The sequence below is a fragment of the Homo sapiens genome, chromosome 1 (genome assembly GCF_000001405.40).
Source record: "Homo sapiens chromosome 1, GRCh38.p14 Primary Assembly".
NCBI lineage: Eukaryota > Metazoa > Chordata > Mammalia > Primates > Hominidae > Homo > Homo sapiens.
The window spans coordinates 108,955,238-108,978,310 of record NC_000001.11 but is presented as its reverse complement, the minus strand read 5'-3'; the positions used below and the strand labels follow the sequence as shown (position 1 = coordinate 108,978,310).

At 43.4% G+C, this 23,073-nt stretch overlaps 2 protein-coding genes across 32 annotated transcripts in view, besides 7 other annotated features; both read left to right on the top strand.

Annotated features, from left to right (window-relative positions):
* Nucleotides 1-8,097, top strand: part of WDR47 (WD repeat domain 47) — a 71,889-nt gene extending 63,792 nt beyond the window's left edge. For all 15 annotated transcript variants that reach the window (NM_001142551.2, XM_011541028.4, NM_014969.6 and 12 more), the window contains 2 exons: nucleotides 3,557-3,775; nucleotides 6,739-8,097. In NM_001142551.2, coding sequence (NP_001136023.1) covers nucleotides 3,557-3,775; nucleotides 6,739-6,881 — 362 coding nt within the window. In that variant the 3' untranslated portion in view covers nucleotides 6,882-8,097. The remainder of the gene's footprint in view (nucleotides 1-3,556; nucleotides 3,776-6,738) is intronic.
* A 6,729-nt stretch (nucleotides 8,098-14,826) lies between these two features.
* CLCC1 (chloride channel CLIC like 1) overlaps nucleotides 14,827-23,073 on the top strand; it is a 33,980-nt gene continuing 25,733 nt past the window's right edge. For 6 of the 17 annotated variants that reach the window (NM_001048210.3, NM_001377469.1, NM_015127.5 and 3 more), the window contains exon 1: nucleotides 14,827-14,950. The gene's annotated coding sequence lies outside the window, so the exon portion shown is untranslated. Of the gene's footprint in view, nucleotides 14,951-15,841; nucleotides 16,003-23,073 lie in introns of all 17 variants that reach the window. The other 11 variants (NR_165299.1, NM_001278202.2, NM_001377458.1 and 8 more) reach the window with 6 other exon arrangements.
* Nucleotides 15,032-15,271: a silencer, noted in NCBI's record as "silent region_1140". NCBI's record gives its function as "represses an Ori minimal core promoter by ATAC-STARR-seq in GM12878 lymphoblastoid cells {active_cell/tissue: GM12878}" and the evidence as "EXISTENCE:reporter gene assay evidence [ECO:0000049][PMID:35858748]".
* Nucleotides 15,410-15,704: a silencer, noted in NCBI's record as "tiled region #7966; HepG2 Repressive non-DNase unmatched - State 1:Tss, and K562 Repressive DNase unmatched - State 1:Tss". NCBI's record gives its function as "represses a minimal TATA promoter and a strong SV40 promoter by Sharpr-MPRA in HepG2 and K562 cells {active_cell/tissue: HepG2 | K562}" and the evidence as "EXISTENCE:reporter gene assay evidence [ECO:0000049][PMID:27701403]".
* Nucleotides 15,410-15,751: a biological region, named in NCBI's record as "Sharpr-MPRA regulatory region 7966".
* Nucleotides 15,632-15,751: an enhancer, noted in NCBI's record as "active region_1432". NCBI's record gives its function as "activates an Ori minimal core promoter by ATAC-STARR-seq in GM12878 lymphoblastoid cells {active_cell/tissue: GM12878}" and the evidence as "EXISTENCE:reporter gene assay evidence [ECO:0000049][PMID:35858748]".
* Nucleotides 16,124-16,624: an enhancer, noted in NCBI's record as "H3K4me1 hESC enhancer chr1:109504309-109504809 (GRCh37/hg19 assembly coordinates)". NCBI's record gives its function as "activates a minimal SCP1, AML or CMV promoter by ChIP-STARR-seq in naive H9 embryonic stem cells {active_cell/tissue: H9 hESC(naive)}" and the evidence as "EXISTENCE:reporter gene assay evidence [ECO:0000049][PMID:30033119]".
* Nucleotides 16,625-17,125: an enhancer, noted in NCBI's record as "H3K4me1 hESC enhancer chr1:109503808-109504308 (GRCh37/hg19 assembly coordinates)". NCBI's record gives its function as "activates a minimal SCP1, AML or CMV promoter by ChIP-STARR-seq in naive H9 embryonic stem cells {active_cell/tissue: H9 hESC(naive)}" and the evidence as "EXISTENCE:reporter gene assay evidence [ECO:0000049][PMID:30033119]".
* Nucleotides 19,537-20,038: an enhancer, noted in NCBI's record as "H3K4me1 hESC enhancer chr1:109500895-109501396 (GRCh37/hg19 assembly coordinates)". NCBI's record gives its function as "activates a minimal SCP1, AML or CMV promoter by ChIP-STARR-seq in naive H9 embryonic stem cells {active_cell/tissue: H9 hESC(naive)}" and the evidence as "EXISTENCE:reporter gene assay evidence [ECO:0000049][PMID:30033119]".

The window sequence follows — 23,073 nt, the reverse complement described above, 5'->3', positions numbered from 1 at the left end:
GTAGAGACGGGGTTTCACCATGTTAGCCAGGATGGTCTCGATCTCCTGACCTCGTGATCCGCCTGCCTCGGCCTTCCAGAGTGCTGGGATTACAGGCGTGAGCCACCGTGCCTGGCCTTTTTTTTTTTTTTTAATTAAAGGATGGACTTTAATCTTTATTTACGGGACACTGTAAGATATGAAATTTCATGTAGAAATTAAAATGCATTCAGAGGACAAGCTTCATACAGTATATACAGCTTGGAACTGTTCAAGTATAGTTTCAGTGTAAAAAGTGCTACAATAACAAGCCACATTTAAAAAGAGTTCTTTTTTTTTTTTTTTTTGAGAGAGTGTTTCGCTTTTGTCACCCAGACTGGAGTGCAGTGGTGCAATCTCTGCTCACTGCAACTTCCGTCTCCCAGGTTCAAGTGATTCTCCTGCCTCAGCCTCCCAAGTAGCTAGGACTACAGGTGCGTGCCACCACGCCCAGCTCGTTTTTGTTTTTGAGAATCTTACTTTGTCGCCCAGGCTGGAGTGCCATGGTGTAATCTCAGCTCACTGCAACCTCTGCCTCCTGGGTTCAAGCGATTTTCATGCCTCAGCCAGGCACCACCACGCCCAGCTCATTTTTGTATTTTTAGTGGAGGCGAGGTTTCACCTTATTAGCCAGGCTGGTCTCGAACTTCTGACCTCAGGTGATCTGCCCGCATTGGCCTCCCAAAGTACTGGGATTATAGGCGTGAGCCACCGCGCCTGGCCTTAAAAAGAGTTCTTAGTAGAGAAACAGTAAGACAAACTTACACCAAACATGGTATATAACAACTTTATGCCTCAGCTACATGATCTAAAAGTTAAATGTTCCAGGAGTTGCACCTGGCCGGGTGTGGTGGCTCATACCTGTAATTCCAGCACTTTGGGAGGCCGAGGTGGGTGGATTTCCTGAGGTCAGGAGCTCGAGACCAGTCTGGCCAACATGGTGAAACCCTGCCTTTACTAAAAATACAAAAAAATTAGCTAGGCGTGGTGGTGGGCGCCTGTAATCCCAGCTACTGGGGAGGCTGAGGCAGGAGAATCGCTTGAACCTGGGAGGCGGAGGTTGTAGTGAGCCAAGATCATGCCACTGCACTCCAGCCTGGGCGACAGAGTGAGACTCTGTCTCAAAAAAAAGAAAAAAACCCAGTTACCTATTTTCCTGTTTATTGCTACCACTCTAGGATAAATAGCATAAACCACCATCATCTCTCAACTGAACCACAGCAATAGCTTCCTTACCATACACTTTCACTTGTGCTCCCTTTAGTCTGCAATCCACGTAGCAGTCAAAGTATGCTTTTGAAAAAATAAGCCTGGTCACCTCACACCTTCAGTGACTTTAAATCTTAAAGTACACACTTGTTATCACGACCTACAGGAGCCTGCTTGATTTGGCATTTTTACCCTTCTAGTCTCACCTCAGATCACTTACTTTTTTCTTTTCAATTCCTGGAACATGCCAAGCTCCTCCCATGTCCAGTAAAGCCATATGCTGTTTCCTTAGTTGGAAATGTTCCTCCTCTTGTCTTCTCATGGTTAGGTCCTTCGTGTCTTTAGGTCTTAACTTCAATGCCACCTAGCCAGAGAGGCCTTCTTTGACTTACCTAATTGGGACCTCGCCATTATTTTCTATTACTGAACTCTTATCACTATTTAAAATTATGTACTTGTTTACTTGTTTAGTGCTTACCTCCTCCAATAGATTTTAAGTTTCATCAAGGCAGCAATGATACCTGTTTTATTTTCAGAAGAGGTTTAGCACCTACCATAGTGCCTGGCCTAAGGGAGTAATGATTTAATAACTTTTTTGAGTAAACGAATGAAGATTTTTGTTGACACTATAAACTTTGTACGTGTAAAACTAAACTGTATTTCTCCTCTAAATCAGTTATTCTTCCCACCTTCCTTACTGTTTTTTTTTTTTCCTCTTCCCTAGTTTTGATAATGGTTCTCTTATTTTCTCATGCAACTAGATTTGAAATCTGGGACTCATTTTTGCTTTATTTTAATTAACTGCCCCACTCAGGCAGTTAATTTCCAAGACTGTTGACTGTTTATTCAGGTTTTGTTCCTGAAATCTTTCTTGTCTTCTAGTGGCCTCTTTTGTTCTACAATCTTTCCACTTTAATTTGATACACATTTTCACTTAGATTACTCAAAGTACTGCTCGAATCATGTAATTCTCTTGCTTAGAAACCTACAATGATGCTTTACTGTTTACAGAGACAAGTTCAAAACTCTGCAGTTTGAGATTTAGGCGCTTGACGGCCTGGCCCTAACCTACCTTTTGCATTTCAGTTTCAAGCTGCCTTTCAAGTTAACTTTTATCTCCAGCCAAACTGATCTACCTTCCTGTAAGCTGTTTTATACTTTTCCTCTAAACCTTTTCTCATGTAATTCTTCCTGATCGTAATAGCCCTCTTCTCTTTCAGTATTTCAAGAAAAGATTATTCTTTATTACATACAAATGTATGTGTTCGCCTGTGTATACATACATACATACTCTTATTTATGCTGTTTATTGTTTTTCAAGGTCTAACTTGTGTCCCATTTTTTTATGAAGTCTTCCTAGACCACTTTGGTCTAGAGCAGTGTTATTCAAACTTTTTTTTTTTTAATTTATTTTTTTGAGACAGGGTCTCACTCTGTCTCAAAAAAATTTATTATTTTTTTTTGAGATGGAGTCTCGCTCTGTCGCCCAGGTTGGAGTGCAGTGGCGCAATCTCAGCTCACTGCAACCTCCGCCTCCCAGGTTGAAGCGATTCTCCTGCCTCAGCATCGTGAGTAGCTGGGATTACAGGCACGTGCCACTCCGTTCGGCTAACTTTTGTATTTTTAGTAGAGATGGGGTTTCACCATGTTGGCCAGGCTGGTCTCGATCTCCTGACCTTGTGAGCCACCTGCCTCGGTCTCCCAAAGTGCTGGATTACAGGCATGAGCCACCGCGCCCAGCCTGTATAATTAATTAACAAAATAATTATTAATTATAATAATTTATAAAATAAAATTATTTATTTTATTTCTGGGAGACAAGGATTCAAGTTGCCCTGAATATATGCCCCCAAGAGCTTATTTTCTGTTCACAGTTCCTATTGGCAGTAATCTTGTGTTGCTTTAGTACATTTCCTATACTGTTGTCCTAAAATACATTTTGTTACTGAATTTCTTGTCTCTTTAACTACACTCTTAGCTGGGTATAGGAGCATTTCTAGATACTTCCAGTAGTGAAAACACTGGATTGAGAAAAGTGGTTTCTGTAGCATGGCTCATCTATTGCACTATAGGTGATGCTGTTGCACACAGTTCTCTCAAATGACAAAAAATGGACTTTCTCATTTCTTACAAAATTTTGTTTAGGCCTTGGGCCTTAAAAGGACACAACTGTTTATTGGTTAACTGTTAATTTGGATTTTTTCATCGCTGAATAGTATTGATAAACTACATTAAATCTTTAGTATATGGTTCAATGGACATAATCAGCTGTGTTGCCATTTGGGTATATTGATTTTCTGTATTTAAACTTTCATTCCTACCACTACAGGCAGTGCAGTGGCATCTGTAGCTGTAGATCCCAGTGGTCGTCTCTTAGCCACAGGTCAAGAAGATTCTAGCTGCATGTTGTATGACATAAGAGGAGGAAGAATGGTACAAAGTTATCATCCTCATTCCAGTGATGTTCGCTCTGTTCGATTCTCCCCTGGAGCTCACTACTTGCTAACAGGCTCTTATGATATGAAAATAAAGGTGACAGACCTACAAGGTGATTGAGATCGACTTCTCTGTTTTTAGTCTTTCCTGTTCTATTTGGGACCTTTATTTTTTTGTTAATGTGATGTGGTTGATTATATAATACTTTCAATTATTTTATAGTATTTATTGAGCAGATTCTGAGACTATATTAAGATATATAATAGCAAATTATTAAATAAGCAGTGAATAGTCTTATTGTTAGGTTTTGTTTTTGTTTTTATAGAGGCAGGGGCTCACTATGTTGCCCAGGCTGGTCTCGAACTCCTGGGCTCAAGTGATCCATCCGCCTTCGTCTCCCAAAGTGCTGGGATTACAGGCGTGAGCCACCACGCCCAGCCTGTTTTTGTTTTTGAGACAGGGTCTCGCTCTGTCGCCCAGGCTGGAGTGCAGTGGTGTGATCTTAGCTCACTGTATCCTCTTATCTCCCCTGCTCAAGTGATCCTCCCACCTCAGCCCTGCAAGTAGCTAGGACTACAGGTGCATGCCACCTCACCTGGCTAATATTTGTATCTTCTGTAGAGACAAAATTTTGCCATGTTGCGCAGGCTGGTCTCAAACTTCTGAGCTCAAGCGATCTGCCTGCATTGGCCTCCCAGAGTGCTGGGATTATAGGCGTGAGCCATCATGCCCAACCTTATTGTTAGTTTTTGATTTTTTTTTTTTGAGGCAGGGTCTCACTCTTTCACCCAGGCTGGAGTGCAGTGGCACGATTATTGCTCACTACACCCTTGACCTCCTGGGTTCAAGCCATCCTTCTGCCTCAGCCTCCGAATAGCTGGAACTACATCTGTGCACCACCATGGATGGCACATTTTAAAAATTTTTTTGTAAAGATGGGATCTTGCCATGTTGCCCAGGCTGGTTTTGAATTCCAGGCCTCAAGTGATCCTCCTGCCTCCGCTTAAGATATTTTTTAAAATCAACATTTATTTATAGTGACTCATTCTGAGATAAATGATGGATTTGTGTACTGTTATTAGCTTCTACATTAAAAAATCATTAGCATACAATCTTTGTAATTAGGTCTTAGTATCTAGTTTTAGTTTTAAACATTCATCAAGCAAATATTTATTGTATATCAATTAGGGACTGACAGATGAGAATAAGACAGTTAATTCCCTCCCTGATGGAGCTTATATTTTAGAGGTCAATAAAAAGTAAACCAATAAACAATGTAATTTTAGGTATTTGTGCTGTTTAAAAAATTAGTATGGTAGGGAGATAGTGACTAGGGTGAATAGGGGAAGGCTATTTATTTATTTATTTTGAGACAGAGTCTTGTTCTGTTGCCCAGGCTGGAGTGCAGTGGTGCATCTTGGCTCACTGCAGGGGGAAGGCTATTTTAAATAGGATAATTGGAGTAGGTCTCTCCAAGGAAATGCCATTTGCATAGAGACCAGAATGATGAGGAGGAACAAGCCAGGCCAGGATATTAGGAGAAGAGCACAGCAAGTATAAAGATGCTGAAGTAGGAACCAGCTTAGCACGTTCATGACACTACAGGAAGCCAATGTGCCTGGAACTTAGTGAACTAAGAGAGAGAGACACAGAAGAATAAATCAGAGGCAGGGTTTTATAGACTTTTTTTTTTTTTTTTTCTGAGACAGAGTCTCGCTCTGTCGCCCAGGCTGGAGCGCAGTGGTGCAATGTCGGCTCACTGCAAGCTCCACCTCCCAGTTCATGCCATTCTCCTGCCTCAGCCTCCCAAGTAGCTGGAACTACAGGCGCCCGCCACCACACCTGGCTAATTTTTTGTATTTTTAGTAGAGACAGAGTTTCACCATGTTAGCCTTGATCTTGATGGTCTTGATCTCCTGACCTCGTGATCTGCCTGCCTTGGCCTCCCAAAGTGCTGGGATTACAGGCGTGAGCCACCGCGCCCGGCCTATAGACATTTTTTTTAAGGGCTTTATTTTTAATAGCAGTTATAGGTTAACAGCAAAATTGAGAGATACGGAGATTTCCCATATACTCCTGACTCACACATGCATAGCCTGCCTCCCCCATTATCAGTATCCCCTTCCACAGTGGTACATTTATTATAGTTGGTGGGCTATAAGCATTTTAAAAAGTATAATGTGAAGCCTTTGGAAGATTTTAACTGGAAGGGATAGGAGCTGAATTATATTTTTGGAGAATTTGGGGTTCTGTAGGGAGAGTAGATTGTAAGGGGGCAAGAGTAGAAATATAAATGTCAGTGAGGAGGCTGTTGGAATAGTTCAGGTGAGATGATGGTGGCTTGGACTAGGGTGGTGGAGGTGGAGGTAGTAAGAAATGACTAAATTTGAGATATATTTTGTTTGGATCAGCTTTGAGGAGTGAGGGGAAAAGGAATCAATGACGATTCCTAGGTTTTTGTCATGAGCAACCAGATGGTGCCATTGAGATAAGGGAGGCAGGTAAGGGGAGGAACAGGTTTAGGCAAGAAAACCAAGAGTTTGGTTTTAGACAAGTTTAAATTAGGATGACTATCAGACAAGTGAGATATTGAATGACTATTTGGATACTAGTCTGGAGCTCAGATGAGAACCAAGATTGGAGATAAAATATGTATGAATTGTAAATATATAAATGGCCATGTTGCTAGATGAAATTTTTTAGGAAGTTAGGTACAGAGAGAACAGAAGAAATCTGAGGGTTGACTCCTGGGATTCACCAAGCTTTACGTCAAGAAGAAAAGGGAAACTAGCAAAAGATGAAGTGGCACTGAAATCAGGGAGAAATCAAGTTGAGAGAATTTCCGAGAGAGAGAGAGAGGCAACTTGTCAAATGTTGCTGTATGGGTATATGTTAGCAAATACTAATAGCATAATTAGGTAGGTAGTAATTTATCCCTGTATAAACCTTTCAATGTATTATATTAATGTAGTTTAAGATTTTTTATACTGTAATGTCTTAAAGTAACAGGAAGTCTATACAATCTATACATATACTTATTTTGCATTGTAAATCAACATCTCTTTTGTAATTTAGGGGACCTCACCAAGCAGCTTCCTATCATGGTGGTGGGGGAGCACAAGGACAAAGTGATTCAGTGCAGATGGCACACCCAGGATCTTTCCTTCCTGTCATCCTCTGCAGATAGAACTGTCACCCTCTGGACTTACAATGGGTAGAGCACACCGCATGTCAGTCTATGCAGCAAAAGCACAGAGACTTAAGACTACTGAGTTGTGAAAATTACAAATCTGAAGAACATAGTGTCCAGGAAAGTGGTTTAGCACGAAGAGGCCCCTTATTACCATGTATCCCACTGATAGGAGGTGTTGGGTGGTGTTATTCCGCAGTGCTTTCAGTCTTCCATGTGAGCTCGTGCTGCTGTGACCTGCTATATGTAGTCTCGTTGCCAAAGTCTGCAGAAGAGCTCTTCAGTTGTTGGTGTGCACTCCAAGTCAGGATGGACAATGTGTTTACGGTTTAGTATTCAATGCATTCCTTGGTCTTTGCCTAAATAACAGTTTTATATGCACATTGAAATGGAATTATACTTCAACTATATTATTAAATGTAATGCAACCAAGTTCCTCCCAGATTAAACTTCCCAGGTGTTCAGAATTACTTTTGCTCTTCTCACGATCCCATATTGTATTATCACTTGTCTTCTAGAGGTCAGAATTCCATAATATATGTCACTCAAAAGTTACATGGTTGCTTTCACTTAAGGATCATTGTGGAGTTTAAAGATGAATGAAAAACTGCTTCTTAGTTTACTACATGGTATAGGCCCTTTTTTCTTAAACCCAGGGATATGATTATTTTGTCATATAATTTTGTTTCAGGCTAAAAGGTAAATGTGTTTGCTTCAGAAACTTGTTAACTTCAGTTTTTTGAATGCAACAGGATACCTCCCTTCCAAACTGAACTGTAGAAGCAGAGCAGCAGCAGTTATGTGATGCAACACTTGATGGTACAGTAAATTTACTGGCATTTTTCTCCTTAAAAATTAAAATCCTTGACATAGACCATAGCATGGCTTGAAATGCTATGTCTGCATGATAATTTAAAATGGAAGATTTAAACTTTGCACTCCAAAAGCTTATTTGGATTTTTTTCTTGCACTGTTTTGTGTAATGCAGAATAATGATTTTATTTCTACAGCTTTGTAGATTCTAACATTTATGTATCTTTATTTTCATATTGTACAGTAATTTTACTTTAAATTATTTAAATAGGCTATTTTATTTATTTCAAATGCAGTTGTATTAGTTCTCATTATTGAACTGTCTGTGCACTGTATGTAGCAAGCATTTTTCATCTGTTGTATACAAGTGGAAAGGGTATTAGAAGTGTAACTGTGCTATTATTTCAATAAAGACCTCTTGACATTTAAAACTGTTTCTGTTCCTCAGTCTTTGGCTTTCAAAATAATGTTATTTTTTCAGTTTACTGGGAGAAAGTGAGGTCCAGTGGATGAAGTCCATAATCAGTTTCTTAGATTTCTTTCTAAAGTTCTTCTACTAATTTGCTTTTTAATCCTTGGCAACTGTATAACTTATTAACAAAAAAATAATTTTTCTAAAAATGGGGTCTTGCTTTGTCCAGGTTGGTCTTGAACTCTTGGCCTCAAGTGATTCTCCTGAGTCAACCTCCTGAAGTGTTGGGATTATGGGCGTGAGCCATTGTGCCTGGCCTGTATAACTTTTGTGTGTCTTCTGTCTCTTTTATCCAAGATTTAGAGAACTTTCTATCCTTAATATGTTGTGAAAGTTGACTAATAAAAGCCTAACAATATGTATAAATTTGAACTCAAGAGTATGAATATGTCGAATTAGGTAATCACCCAACAGGTTCACCATGCCCTCTGCCTAGATAGAGCCAATTTATTCAAGACAAGGGAATTGCAATAGAGAAAGAGTTATTCATGCAGAGCCAGCTGTGCAGAAGACTGGAGTTTTATCACTCAAATCACTCTCCCTGAGCATTCCAGGATCAGAGTTTTTAAGGATAATTTGGTGGGTGGGGTTCACTCCTAGTAAATTGGGAGTGCTGATGGGTTGGGTTGGAGATGAAATCATAGGGAGTCAAATCTGTCTTGAGTCAGTTCCTGGGTGGGGGCCACAAGATGAGCCAGTTTACTGATATGGCAGATGTCAGCTGATCCATCAAGTGCAGGGTCTGGGAAATATCTCAATCTCTGATCTTAGGTTTTACAATAATGATGTTATCCCCAGGAGCAATATGGGGAGGGTCAGAATCTTGTAGCCTCCAGCTCTATGACTCCTAAACTGTAATTTCTAATCTTGTGGCTAATTTGTTAGTCCTACAAAGGAGGCAATCTAGTCCCCAGGCAAGAAGGGGGTTTGTTTTGGGAAAGAGCTATTACTTTTTTTCTTTTTTTTGAGACAAGAGTCTCGCTCTGTCGCCCAGACTGGAGTGTAGTGGTGCGATCTCAGGCTCACTGCAACCTCCACCTCCAGCAATTCTCCCGCCTCAGCCTCCCAAGTAGCTGGGATTACAGGTGCGCACCACCACACCCAGCTAATTTTTGTATTTTTAGTAGAGATGGGGTTTCGCCATGTTGGCCAGACTGGTCTTGAACTCCTGACCTCAAGTGATCTGCCTGCCTTGGCCTCCCAAAATTCTGGAATTACAGGCGTGAGCCACCGTGCCTGGCCAGAGCTGTTATTTTTGTTTCAAACTATAAACTATAAATTAAGTTCCTCCCAAAGTTAGTTTGGCCCACTCCCAGGAATGAACAAGGACTGGTTGGAAGCAAGATGGAGTTGGTGAGGTCAGATCTCTTTCACTGTCTCAGTTATAATTTTGCAATTTCAACTTAGGAAGAAATAAAATACAGCTAGCTTGTGGGTATTCGATAGGTACACAAATTTTCTACCTTTCAGGCATGCAGAAGGGAATTCTGCTAAAAGCATGCCACAGTCTCTCTCTTTTTTTTTTTTTTTTCAGATGAAGTCTCTGGCTCTTGTCCCCAGGCTGGAGTGCAATGGCATGACCTTGGCTCACTGCAACCTCCACCTCCCAGGTTCAAGCGGTTATCCTGCCTCAACCTCCCGAGTAGCTGGGATTACAGGTGCCGGCCACCACTCCTGGCTAATTTTTTTATTTTCAGTAGAGACAGAGTTTCACCATGTTGGCCAGGCTGGTCTCGAACTCCTGACCTCAGGTGATCCGCCCGCCTCGGCCTCCCAAAGTGCTGGGAATACAGGCATGAGCCACCATGCCCGGCCCAGTCTCTTCTTTAGTTTACTTTCATGTTGAATTTCACACATTTTAGATATTAGATAAGTTGTGTTAAGTTTAAAACTAGGAAAATAAGCTATTTCTTAGAGACCAGTTCAAGTTCATGGTTAAAAATATTCATAAAATTGTGTATTCCACCTTCATCACTGTCAGGGAGAAGAGATTCTCCTGGACATGAGGTATGGAATTCATTTCTTTTACTGCAGTACATTAGATAGTAAGCATCAAGGCTGGGTGTGGTGGCTCACGCCTGTAATCCCAGGACTTTGGGAGGCTGAGGGGGTGGATCACTTGAGGTCAGGAGTTCGAGACCAGCCTGGCCAACATGGTGAGGACTAAGCTCTGATTTTTTTTTTTTTTTTTAATCTTCCTATCTAAGGGGACTGGGGAGTTATGCCTTACAAACCATGACTTCTCATCAGATGGGTTTTATTTAATCATGTATATCGTGACTTACTTTCCAATCTGACTCTGGCATAACAAGAAAATCAAAATGTTTTACCCCAAAATACATTTCCTTGCCATACCTTGAAATTGCCCTGCAAAGTCTTTTGTGGGAAAAATGCACATCCTATAGAGAATCCCTTTTCCCTTTGTTTTCCTTCCTTTCTTTCCAGATCCAGGAGATAATCAACTAAGAAGCAGGCACCTTTTTAATTCCTGTAAGAAACATTTTACAACCTGCTCTCTCTGAAGTCTTTTATCTGAGCGCTTCCTCTGCCCAATAAAACTCCGTCTCCACAATCTTCTATCTAAACCTGAACATTCCCTTTGATCCCAGGTCTTCAGACAAACTCAACCAATTGTCAACCAGAAAATGTTTAAATTTACCTATAGCCTGGAAGCCCCTGCTTTGAGTTGTCCCGGCTTTCTAAGCCAAACCAATGTATTTGTTAAATGTATTTGATTGATGTCTCATGCCTCCCTAAAATATGTAAAACTAATCTGTACCCTGACCACCTTGGGCACATGTTCTCAGGACCCCGAGGGCTGTATCACGGGCCATGGTCACTCATATTTGGCTCAGAATAAATCTCTTCAAATATTTTACAGAGTTTGACTCTTTTAGTCAACAATGGTGCAACCCTGTCTTAAAAAAAAAAAAAAAAAAAAGATCAGCCGGCTGTGGTGGCATGTGCCTGTAATCTCAGCTACTCGAGAGGCTGAGGCAGGAGAATCGCTTGAATGCGGGAGGTGGAGGTTGCAGTGAGTCAAGATTGTGCCACTGCACTCCAGCCTGGGCGACAGAGCAAGACTCCCTCTCAAAATAATAAGCACCAGAAATTGTTATATTTGCTTCAGTAAATAGCTGGTTACATATGTCCTTTTTTGTTTGTCTCCACATGTCTTCTGCATGGGGTGACTAGGTTCTTTGAGGTTCACATAAAAGAGAAAATGAGAGGACTGAAGTATCTATACTCTTGGGGTCCATCTCATTTGGCAGTGCAAGGAAGGGGAATTGGGGTGGATGGGTAGTGCAGAGGTTCTTAATTATTCCCAGGGAGGACATTTAGAGGTCTGTTCCAATTTTATGTGTGTGTGTGTGTGTGTGTGTGTGTGTGTGTGTGTGTGTGTGTTGCCTCAAGTTGAGAGATTATTTCTATTTTTAAAATGTTTAATTTTTCTATTGCATTGTGTTATATTGACAAAGTCTTGCTCACTATAGCCTAGAACTCCTGTGCTCAAATGATCCTCCTGCCTCACTCAGCCTCCCGAGTAGCTAGGACTACAGGCACATGCCACAATGTGGGGCTAATTTTTTTTATAGAGATGGGTGTCTCACTATGTTGCCTAGGCTGGTCTCAAACTCCTGGCCTCTTAACAGTCCTCCCATCTTGGTCACCCAAAATGCTAGCATTACAGGCATGAGACACCACATCTGCCCCCAAATTTTATTTTTAAAATGTTTACTTTTCCAAAATTGTAATGTCGACGGAGTCAAACTCTGTAAAATATTTGAAGAGATTTATTCTGAGCCAAATTTAAGTGACCATGGCCCATGACATAGCCTCAGGAGATCCTGAGAAGATGTGCCCAAGGTGTTTGGGCTACAGCATGGTTTTATATACATTTTAGGGAGCGTAAGACATCAATCAATACATGTTAAATATACATTGGTTCAGTTCAGAAAGATGGGACAACTCAGAGGTGGGGGTGGGGGGATGGACCTGCTGTCACATTGGTATCTTACTGCTACAAAGTGTGTCAGTGTTAAGGTCTCTGTTTTTTTTTTTTTTCCTGAGACAGAGTCTCGCTTTGTCACCCAGGCTGGAGTGCAATGGCATGATCTCAGCTCACTGCAACACCCACCTTCCAGGTTCAAGCGATTCTCCTGCCTCAGCCTCCCAAGTAGCTGGCATTACGGGCCCACCGCTTTGCCTGCCTAATTTTTGTGATTTTACTAGAGACAGGGTTTCACCATGTTGGCCAGGCTGGTCTTGAACTCCTGCCCTTAAGTGATTCACCTGCCTTGGCATCCCAAAGGGCTGAGATTACAGGCATGAGCCACTGCAACTGGCCTCAGGTTTACTTTAGAATGCCCTTGGCTGAGAGGATGGGCCTATTCAGTTGGTTGGGGGGCTTAGAATTTTATTTTCGTTTTATAGTAAGAAGCCAAAGGACACAACAGAGTGAAAAGGCAACCCACTAAGAGGGAGAAGATGGGGCCGGGCATGGTGGCTCATGCCTGTAATCCCAACACTTTGGAAGGCTGTGGCAGGAGGATCACTTGAACCCAGGAGTTTGACACCAGCCTGGGCAATACAGGGAGACCCTGTCTCTAAAAAAAAAAAGAAAAGAAAAAGTGGGAGAAGATATTTGCAAATCCTATCTGATAAGGTGGTTAATATCCAGAATATATAAGGAACCAAAACACAACAAAAACCCATTAAAAAATGGGCAAAGCCAGGAGTTCAAGGCTGCAGTGGGCCATGATCATGACACTGCACTTCAGCCTGGGTGACAAAGCGAGACCCTGTCTCTTAACAAAACAAAATAAAACAAACAAAACAAATGGGTAAAGGACTTGAATAGACATTTCTCCAACAAACATATACAAATGGCATGACCAATAAGCACAAGAAAAGATGCTCAACATCACTGGTCATTAGCGAAAGGCAAATCAAGACCACAGTGAGATACCTCACACCTATTAAGATGGCTACTATACAAAAATAAAAAGATGTCAGTGGAGATGTGGGGAAATTGGAACTTGTGCACTCTTGGAGGGAATGTAAAATGTTGCAGCCACTATGGAAAAGAGAATGGCAGTTCCGCCGGGCGCAGTGGCTCATGCGTGTAATCCCAGCACTTTGGCAGGTCGAGGTGGGTGGATAACGAGGTCAGGAGTTCGAGACCAGCCTGGTCAACATAGTGAAACCCCATCTCTACTAAAAATACAAAAATTAGCCAGGCATGGTGGCAAACGCCTGTAGTCACAGCTACTCAAGAGGCTGAGGCAGGAGAATCGCTTGAACCCGGGAGGCAGAGGTTGTGGTGAGCCGAGATCGTACCACTGCACTCCAGCCTGGGCAACAAGAGTGAAACTCCATCTCAAAAAAAAAAAAAGTACGGCAGATCCTCAAAAAATTAAAAATAGAATTACTACATAATCCAGCAATTCCACTTGTGTATATATATTCAGGAGTTGAAAGCAACAGATATTTGAACATCTGTGTGTATACCCAAAAGGGTTAAAAAACAGATATTTGTATATCCATGTTTACAGTATTATTTCACAGTAGCCAAAAGTGGAAACAACCTGTTATCCATTAACAGATGACTGAATGAACTGGTATATACATAAAATGGAATACTATTCAGCCTTAAAAGAAATTCTGACACGTTACCACATGGATGAACCTTGAGGACATTATGGTAAGTGAAATCAGTTACAAAAAGACAAATGCTGTATGAGTCCTTATATGAAATACCTAGAGTAGTCAAATTCATAAAGACAGAAAGAATGGTAGTCGCTGGGAAGGAGGGAGGGGAAGAATGAGGCGTTACCACTTACTGGGTACAGAGTTTCAGTTTTGCAAGATGAGTGCTGGAGATGGATGGTGGTAATGGTTGCATAACAATGTGAATGTATCTAATACCACTGAATTGTACCTTTAAAAATGGTTAAGATAGTAAATTTTACCATCTTCACAGTTTCCCGAGATTGCAAGGCCAGCAGTTAAAGACAAAAACAAAACTACTTCCAACTGCCCTACAGTGTGCAGACCTTTCCCTTGTCCTGCCCTGAGTAGAACTACAGTTGTCATTCGTGATCCTCCCTTTAAAAAATTATGCTTGTGGCTAGGCGCGGTGGCTTACACCTGTAATCCCAGCATTTTGGGAGGCCGAGGCGGGCGGATCACCTGAGGTCAGGAGTTCGAGACCAGCCTAGCCAACATGGTGAAACCCTGTCTCTGCTAAAAATACACATTAGCTGGATGTGGTGGTGCGCGCTTGTAGTCCCAGCTGCTCGGGAGGCTGAGAGAGGAGAATTGCTTGAACCCGGGAGGCAGAGGTTGCAGTGAGCCGAGCCGAGATCGCGCCACTGCACTCCAGCCTGGGCAACACTGTGAGACTCTGCCTCAAAAAAAAAAAAATCATGCTTGCGTTTCATGGCGAATGTTACACATTCAAACTTATCAAATATATTAATAGTAAGAAAATAGGTTTCCTATCCGTTGTATATATTTGAGTTCCAGGCGAGATTTCCTTCGCAGAAAGAGTTCCGCAGATGAAAAGTAAAAGAAAATCCGCGGCGAAAATAACCCGCGCGCAGAGGCCGGTCCCGCTACTAGCCCCGCCCAATCAACGAGGCCAATCAGCGGCCCGCAACGGGGGAGGGACACGCAGCCGTCAGCCGAACAATTCGATGACGAGGCCCAGGAAGCACGCTGAAACCCTGGGCGGCGGCAAGCTGTGCGACCTCTTCTGCGGCCGGCCTGGGCAGGTGTCTTCCTCGAGAGGCAGGCAGGGGATCCCGGACGTGAGTCCGTGCAGTTGGGTGTGTTGTGCGGCGGGTGGGGCGGGTTACCCGCCGTTACGCCCTGGCGGGTCCAGCGGACTCGCGGCGCAGACGCTGGGGAGGCCGCAGGCGCGACCCGGGGCGGGGACCGTGCTAGCTGCGTGCGTCCGCTGCGGCCTGTGGGTGCCCCGGGCTCCTACCTCAGCTCCCGCGCCGGCGGCTGCCTGTCCGCCGCGGTTGCGCGCGTTCCGGGGAGGTGCTTGGCCCAGAGAGCGGCCTACGGAGAAGGCACAGCGAGGGCAAAGCGAGACCTGAGCGCACGTTGAATTCTGTTGGCTTTGGTTATCTCTGAAAACTTTAAGCATAATTTGAATAAATGCTGTCAGCAGAATAGCTCGGATTTAGTTGTAGTTAATTTTCTAAAACTTCAAATCTGTGAATTAACACAGTTAACAACAACAACAAAAACGGACACAAAACAACCTCCAAAATGGATTTTTTTTTTTTTTTTGAGACGGAGTCTTGCTGTGTCACCCAGGCTGGAGTGCGGTGGTGCTATCTCCGCTCACGGCAACCTCCGCCTTCCGGGTTCCAGCGATTCTCCTGCCTCAGCCACCTGAGTAGATGGGACCACAGGTGCGCGCCACCAGGCCCGGCTAATTTGTAAATTTTATTTGTAGAGAAGGGGTCTCCCTGTGTTGTCCAGGCTTGTCTCTGACTCCTGGGCTCAAAGGATCTTCCCATCTTGGCCTCCCAAAGTGCTGGGATTACAAGCGTGAGCCATTGCGCCTGGCTCCAAATCTGATTTGAGTGTAAAAAGTTAGACACACCATAAGCTGTAGGTTTATTACTGGGTGGTGAAAAACAATTCAGGTTTTCTTTATAATAGTGATTATGAAGTGTTCTTCCCAGACTAGCTTTATCGTCATCTGGGAAATTGTTAAAAATGCAAATTCGCAAGTTTGAGAGCCATGGTTCCAAGAAACTGCATAAGCATACGAAATAAGTTGCAGCCTCCCGACTTATACCCTGGTACTTCTAGTCTAAAACAGGATTTGACTCTACTAATCCAGGTTAGTCTTGCCTTTCCCATTACTCATGTGCTTTCGTTGAAACCAAAGACTTTTTCTTTTGTGCCCATTTCTACTCACTGCCTGGCCGTCTGCACGACGATCTGTGTTTCCTGGTAGTTCTCCAGTCTAGTAGCTACTATAAACTACTCTCCCTATTTCCCGCTCTGTGGAGATGTCGTTCCAACAGGTCCTCTCCACTCTAAGACCCTATCCTCTCAGAGAAGCCCCTGAGAGCCATTAGTACTTTTGCCCTGGAGAGGCAGTTTAGGTAGAGCCAGTCTGGGTTCTACCACTTACTAGCTTGGTGGTCTTAGGCAAGTTACTTTGTGTGATCTGTAAAATGAAGATGAGTGAAGATAAGAGTACTACTTCCAGTAGTTTTGTGAGGATTAAATTAATGTAACAGTGCTTAGCACATAGTAACAAAATATTAGCTACTTTTTTTTTTTTAGACGGAGTTTTGCTCTTGTTGCCCAGGCTGGAGTGCAATGGCGCGATCTCGGCTCACCGCAACCTGCACTCTCTGGGTTCAAGCAATTCTCCTGCCCCAGCCTCCCGAGTAGCTGGGATTACAGGCATGCGCCACCACGCCCTGCTACTTTTGTATTTTTAGTAGAGACAGGGTTTCTCCATGGTGGTCAGGCTGGGCTGGAGCTCCCAACCTCAGGTGATGCGCCCGCCTTGGCCTCCCAAGGTGCTGGGATTACAAGCGTGAGCCACCGTGCCCGGCCTTTAGCTACTATTATACATATTATAATTTAAAAATTATTAGTACCGAAGCCTGAGACAGGAGAGAAATGGTAAAAATAGTAGGGACTGCGGGAGAGAGAAAGAGTAGTGTCCCCTGACAAGTACTAGAATGACATAGGTGCCACCATTAAACGAAACTAGCTAGGATGGTTACTTTCGATTAACACTTTGCTACTCAAGAGTGTGGTCTGCGGCATCACCAGGAGCTTGTTAGAAGTGGAGATCTCAGACCTACCTCAGATTTACTGAATCAGAATCGTTTTTTTTTTTTTTTAACAAACTCTTCAGCAGGTTTAGATGTAGCTTTGTTTGGAGGAAGTGTGAGATTCGTTTTAGGATTTCTCAAGGAGTTCCAGCCTTCAATCAGTGACCATGGGGATCTGGCAGGAGGGCTTGAATTTCTAGCTGATTCTTCTATTCTGTCTTACCCTCCTGTCTTCCATCATTTCTGCATTGCTAATCTCTATCCCTGGAGAAATCTATGGAACTGCTGGTTATTACTGTAGAAAGTAACATAGTTGCCAATAGTACGACTTTGTGGATGTCACAGTCAAAACTCAACTGCCTGGCTGGCACAGTGGCTCACCTGTAATCCCAGCACTTTGGGAAGACAAGGCGGCGGGCAGGGGGATCCTTTGAGCTCAGGAGTTCGGGACTAGCCTGGGCAACATAGCAAGACCCTGTCTCTATAAAAAAGAAAAAAAAATCTCAACTGCTTGACAGGCTTTTTATTCACTTCCCTTTGTATAATGCCTCCTGTAGTACCTTTTTTCCCCTCCAAATCTCCGTTTCCCCCATCCTAACCTCCTCACAGTGTTAGAAATGCAAATTACTCTTAATTTCTCTGTCCACTTCATATCATATTATAATATGAAATCTGTCAGTTTCTCTTTTTACTTTAGAAATTTTGTCTTCATCCATCTTCATTCATTTCTATTTATGGAGTATATAACCTCATTGCCTATGAAGAACCCTTCCCGTAACCTTAATTTCATGCACTCCCATCTTGGAGCCTCTCTCCAGTTTACACACTCCCTTTGTCACCTACTTCTTAACCACTTAGAGAATTAGGCTTCTCACTGTCATTCTCTGAAAGGTCATAAATGGCCAACTAATTAACCAATCCAATGGCTTTTTTCCAGACTTTGTTCCTCTCCACTTCTCTGAAGTATTGAATACGCTTGATACCACTTTCTTGAAATTAAGTCCCTCCTTAGTTTTTGCCCATTGCATATTTTGGCTTGTCTTCTATTGCCCTGATTAGCCTTCACTCTCCTCTCTGGTATTTGCTTCTTCCATGGCTTTCTTCCTTAGTTGAACTCTTAATTTTTTCCAATAAAGTATACAGTTATTCAGTATTTCTAAGTATCTCCAGAGCATAACAGTGATTTTAGTGTTTTTTGTTTGTTTGTTTGTTTTTTAATTGAGTCAGGGTCTTGCTCTGTCACCCATGCTGGAGAGCAGTGGCGTGATCTCGGCTCAGTGCAGCTTCAACCTCCCCGGCTCAAGTGATCCTCCCACCTCAGCCTCTCCAAGTAGCTGGAAATATAGACGTATGCCACCACACCCAGCTAAATTTTGTTTCAAGTTTTGTAGAGATGGAATCTCCCTAAGTTGCCCAGGCTGGTGTCGAACTCCTGGGCTCAAGTGTTCCTCCTGCCTTGGCTTCCCAAAGTGCTGGGATTACAGGCGTGAGTCGCCACAACCGGCCAGAAACTATTGTTCTATTTATTTTGTGCAGAGCTTTGGTTGTTCAGGCAGGAGGGTAAATCTGGTCCCTGTTACTCCATCTTGGCCAGGAGTAGGAGTTGGGGAAGTGCTTTGGGAGTATAGAGTCCCCCCTTTACCCTTGGAGTATACATTCTAAGATCCTAGTAAATGCCTGAAACTTCAGATAGTACTGAACCTTGTATATATTCTATGTTATTTCCTATACATCTATTCCTCTGCTAAAGTTTAATTTATCAGTTAGGCACAGTAAGAGATTAACAGCAATAACTAATAAAATAGAAAAATTATAACAATACACAATAATAACAGTTATGTACTGTGGCTGGAATTTTTTCACTTGAGGTGCGACAGCAAAACTAGCATGAATTTCTTTCTCCTCCTGTACAATTTCATGGATACAAGTTTTGTTCTTAACATAGATCTTAGCAACCTCATCATATGAGCTTTTTTTTCTTTAATTTTTTTTTTTCTTTTGAGTTGGATTCTCACTTTGTCACCCAGGCTGGAGTACGGTGGTGTGCTCTCAGCTCTCTGCAACCTCTGTCTCCCAGGCTCAAGCGATTTTCCTGTCTCAGCCATTCAAGTAGCTGGCATTACAAGTGTGTGCCACCATACCTGGCTAATTTTCATATATTTATTTATTTATTTATTTTGAGACGGTGTTTCACTGTTGTTGCCCAAGCTGGAGTGCAATGGCGTGATCTCGGCTCACCTCAACCTCCGCCTCCCGGGTTCAAGTGATTCTCCTGCCTCAGCCTCCTGAGTAGCTGGGATTACAGGCATGTGCCACCACGCTCGGCTAATTTTGTATTTTTTTGTAGAGATGGGATTTCTCCATGTTGGTCAGGCTGATCTCAAACTCCCGATCTTGGGTGATCCGCCCACCTCGGCCTCCCAAAGTGCTGGGATTATAGGCATGAGCCACTGTGCCTGGCCTATTTATTTTTTGAGATGGAGTCTCGCTCTGTCGCCCTGGCTAGAGTGCAGTGGTGTAATCTTGGCTCACTACAACCTCCGCCTCCCGGGTTTAAGCAATTCTCCTGCCTCAGCCTCCTGAGTAGTCAGGACTACAGGTGCTTACAACCATGCCTGGCTAATTTTTTGTATTTTTAGTAGAGACGGGGTTTCGCCATGTTGGCCACGCTGGTCTTGAACTCCTGGGCTCAAGTGATCCGCCTGCTGGGCCTCCCAAAGTGCTGGGATTACAGGCATGAGCCACCACGCCCAGCCCTTTATTAAGTTGAGAACTTTCACTTTTTCACTTAAAGGAAGCACTTTATGGCTTCTCTTTGACATATCTGAATTGCCAGCATCGTTACTACTGTGCTTTAGGGCCATTATTAAGTAAAGTATAGATTCCTTGAACACACGCACTGAGATACCACAGCAGTCGTAACCCAGATGGATACTAAGTGACTGGAGTGTGACACCTACAGTGTGGACATCGTCCCATGTGGGATGGAACAGGACAGGAAGAGAGTTCCTCACACTATCCAGAGCTGTGCATAATTGAAAACTTAGGAACTGTTTACTTCTGGAATTTTCCATTTAATATTTTCAGACTGCAGTTGACTGTGGGTAACTGAAACCTCAGAAAGCAAAACCGTAGATGGGGTTACCACTGTAGAGTTACTGTGTTACCTTGATCCAAAACCTTTACCTGAATGATTCCTTTAACCATTCCCGGTAGGCTTTCTCTGTTAAAGCTGCTGTACCAAATCCAGGGGTCAGTTTGCTGCCCTCTGATCGCCTGACCTCTTAGCGGCATTCAACATATTTGTCTGCTCTCTCCTTTCTTCACTTGGCTTCTGAAATTCCAACCTCTCTTGGTTTTCTTCCTGCCTCATAGCACTCACTAGAATTATCTCTTGCTGGTTCCTCCTCTTCTTTCTGATCCCCGAATGTTGGCTTGCCCAGGACTCAGTCTTTTGTCCTCATAATAAATCTTCTGGTGATCTTACCCAGATCATCTCTTTTAAACCCCGTCTACATTCTGATCGTTCTCAAATGTAGTCCCACTGCTCTCCTTAGCTTCATCCTGCATATTTATAATCTCTACTTGGACATCAGTGGACACTTCAGATTTACTATATCCAAACAAAACTCTTGATCTTTCAGAACTTGCAGTCTTCTTCAGTCTTTTCCCTTCTCCCAGTTGCCCTGGCCACAAACATAGAAATCGTCCCAAATCTTCACTTGTCCTTACCGACATCCAAATTTTCAGCAATTTCTATAGTGTATTTCTGTATTAGAGTAGCAAGAGATGTTATAAGAAATAAACCCCTATATCTCAGTATATGCCATAAATGAAATTAATTTTTGCTCACATGAAAGTGAAAAGCTATATTCCCACTTAGTGGGTGGCCTTCCAGGTGGTCATTTAGGGGCCCAGGTGCCTGCATAGTTTGGCTGCCCTCCTCCAGGGCTCAGTGTCCTGGGAATTCCCTGGTTGGGAGAGGGCAGCTGGGAGGTTTTCATGGGCCAGACTTGGATGTGGTGCATATCCCTTCTATCCGTTGGGTTGGCTAGAACTTAACTATTACGTGGCCATACTTCACAGAGAGGCTGAGACATACAGTCATCATTTGTCCAGAAGGAAGAAGAAATATGCCTAGTGACCTATTAGCTGGTCATTTTGCCAGATGTAGTAGGGTCTACCTACAGATTTTAAAAGTCTGACCATTTGTCATCACCTTTGCTGCTGTCTTTAGCTCATGTCACCTTCATCTCTGAAGTGGATGACTACAGATCTTCCTAACCTCCTGATAATCTTCCATTCTAATCTCTACATAGTAGCCATAGTAATGTCTTTTAGAATGTAAACCAGATTCTATCACGCCCCTATTTAAAAGCCTCAAGTGGCTTCTTGTTACACATAGAGTAAAAACCACACTCTTTACTGTGGTCTACCACTCCCTCCCCGCCTCCCCGCCTCCCCGCCTCCCTGCCTCCCAGCTCATTCCCAAGACCCAGCTGTTCTGGCCTCCTTTCTGTTCCTTGACTGCTTCAGCTTCTTCTCCACTCAGGGCTTCTATACTTGCTGTGTCTTCTCTCTGGATGTTCTCCAAATCTTCCTAAGATTATCTTATTTTTCTCCTTAAATGTTCTTGTGGTTATCTGCTTGCATGTAACAAACCACTCTAAAGTGTAATGCTTTTTTTTTTTTTGAGACGGAGTCTCGCTGTGTCACCCAGGCTGGAGTGCAGTGGTGTGATCTCGCCTCACTGCAACTTCCGCCTCCCAGGTTCAAGTGATTCTTCTGCCTCAGCCTCCCGAGTAGCTGGGACTACAGGCGCGTGCCACCATGCCCGGCTAATTTTTTGTATTTTTAGTAGAGACGGGGTTTCACTGTGTTAGCCGGGATGGTCTCGATCTCCTGACCTTGTGATCCGCCTGCCTCAGCCTCCCAAAGTGCTGGGATTACAGGTGTGAGCCACCATGCCTGGCCAAGTGTAATGGCTGTAAATAACACTTTTATTACTGCTGGTGATGTTGTGGTTTTATGGGGTGTGATGGGGCTCAGCTGGATAGTTCTTTTATTCTACATGATGTTGGCTGGGTCACCAAGTCAGTCACCAGAGGTTGGACTGGAACCACCAAGATGGCTCACCCACATGGCTGGCCATTGATATTGGCTGCAGGCTGGGAGCTCAGTGTGCCCCTGCACCCAGCCTCTTCGTGTGACTTGGCCTTCTTACAAGGTGGCAGCTGGCTTCCAAGAGGGGCGTGTTCCCACAAACATATGTTCTGTCTTAGGATTCTCCAGAGAGACAGTGAGGGTGGGAGGATGGATGGATGAGAGGGGATTTATTAGGGGAATTAGCTCATATGATTATGGGTGCCGAGAAGTACCATGATAGGCTGTCTACAGGCTGGAGATCCTGGAAGGCCAGTAGCCTGGCTCAGTCCAGGTGTGAAAGCCTTAAAACCAGGGAAGCCTATGGTGTAATTTTCAGTCTGAGGCTGAAGGCCTGAGAACCTAGGGGCTGCTGGTTTAAGTCTGGGATTCCAAAGCCTGGAGAGCCTGGAGTTCTGATGTCCAGTGACAGGAGAAGAAGGGTGTCCCTGCTCCAGGAGAGAAAAGAAATTCCTTTTCTCTTTTTTGTTGTATTAGGGTCCCCAGCTGACTGAATGGTGCTGGCCCCTACAGAGGGTGGATCTTCCACACTCAGTCAGCTGACTCACAAACCAGTCTTCCCTGGAAACCCCTTCAGACACATCAGAAGGAATGCTTTGCAGTTCTCTAGGTTTTCCTTAGTCCAGTCAAGTTGACACTTAACCATCACATGTTCCAAAGTGAAGTAGAAGCAGGCGACCCTCTTGAAGGCTAGGCCTAGAACCATCATAGCCCCACTTCAACCAAAGGATTTTGGTTCAGTAGTCACAGGGCCAGCCCAGATTCAGGAGAGGGGGAAATACACTCCATCTTTCCGTGGGGAGAGTAACAAAGCATTTGTGACCGTCTTAGATCTTAGGGGCCTACCCTGAAATACCCAGCATCGCCTAATCCATATGTACCACTGTCTTGCTTTATCTTCTTAGGATTTATCACTATCTTGAGTTACATGTTTTTGTTTTTGTTTTTTTGCC